Below are 1,493 nucleotides of genomic sequence, written 5' to 3'. Positions count from 1 at the left end.
AGGCTGATCCTGGCATCGTCTCTTTTATTCCAATCTGGGCTCCTCTTTCTTAGCAGTCTAGTCCTTCCTGAGATTATCAATAAAGCAAAGGTGATAACAGCATTGCGATCCTATCTCTACCTTCTAATCTTTTCCTCACTCATACTAACTTATCTCTTCCAGTCCCTCTTTCTGTTTCAAAATGAAATGTGAAACCTCTATGTATTAAACAATGAAACAAGAAAAACCCACAATCAGCTCTCCATACTAAATTATACAGCAAAGGGGCTGATTTAGGAAAGTCTTCCTTGAGTAGGTTAGTTTAACTTTACTCTGATCCAATCTTCAGGAATGTCATTGGCTAAAGAAGTCATTTTAGTCATGGTGCAATCTTATTCCAGACCTAATCCCCACCCAGTGGGATAAGTCAGTTCCTTTTGCCTCATAACATTCTTACTTCATCAAACTAAAATATTTTCTATCCACTTTCGTATACTTATTTTGGAAAGCAATTGAAGCAGAATAGGCACATACCTTCTATATGTTCCTGAAACATGATTGAGTGCTAACAGTTTCAACATTGGGAAGGCAATGTTCCACTTCCTGGAGTGGATACTCAGATTGTCTAGAGGTCAAGCACTGTTTCCTAATCAGGAGACTGTTATGGAAGGAGGGTGGGGGGCATTAACTGAGCCTTGGGCTTCCTCACAGATCAACAGGTGAATCCTGAGCATCCCGTAGAGTCTGGTGTGAGGATACAGCAATGACTAAGACAAGCCTCTTGCTTCAAGGAGCTCATAGACTATCAGAGGAGACACACACTCTTTCTCAATATGTTACTGACTGTAATAGAGTCTACGCAACATGAAAAAACACACACAGGATTGGCTGCATAATTTGCAGGGTCCAGGGCAGAATGAACATATGGGTTTCCTTTTTCATAAATTGTTAAGAATTTTAAAATGTGTTAAATCAAATGCAGGGCCCTTGGGTTACACAAGCATGAAGCAAGCCCTGCATACATAGAAGAGGTAATGGGATCAGGGTATGGGACACTGAAAAGGCTTCAAAAGAAACTTAAAGTGAATGTGGTTCTTGTAGGATGACTAGGAGTTGGCACATGAAGAAGTGGGGAAGGACATTCTGAGCAAGAAAAGAGAGCCTACACAGTAAGAAAGCAGGGTATGTGAGAGCAGGTTGTCAGTCTATGAGGATGACAAAGTGTGTGGCCAGTGTGTAGTGTCTTAGACTGAAGGAGGCCAGGTGACATATCTACAGAAGGAAGTTGAGGTCAGGGTGTCAGAGGCTTAGTGAAATGAAACCACAAAAGAACAAGGCCAACCGTAGTTTAATGATAGTTTCACCACTTCCTGCCTGTGAGCTCATGGGTAAATGACAATATCCCTGAGCTTCAGCTTTTTTTATCTGAAAATTGGGGCATTCTAGTCTTGGCTCAGCCTTTAGCCCACAGCTAATGAAGCTGTGAGACCTTAAATAAGTCACTTTCCCTCTCT

The 1,493-nt window shown here is 41.6% G+C and overlaps 1 annotated feature.

Annotated features, from left to right (window-relative positions):
• Positions 992-1,101: an enhancer, noted in NCBI's record as "active region_28213". NCBI's record gives its function as "activates an Ori minimal core promoter by ATAC-STARR-seq in GM12878 lymphoblastoid cells {active_cell/tissue: GM12878}" and the evidence as "EXISTENCE:reporter gene assay evidence [ECO:0000049][PMID:35858748]".

This window comes from Homo sapiens, chromosome 9 (genome assembly GCF_000001405.40).
Source record: "Homo sapiens chromosome 9, GRCh38.p14 Primary Assembly".
Classification (NCBI taxonomy): Eukaryota; Metazoa; Chordata; class Mammalia; order Primates; family Hominidae; genus Homo; species Homo sapiens.
The sequence above is the reverse complement of the archived record's forward strand: the minus strand, read 5'-3'. Positions and strand labels throughout refer to the sequence as shown.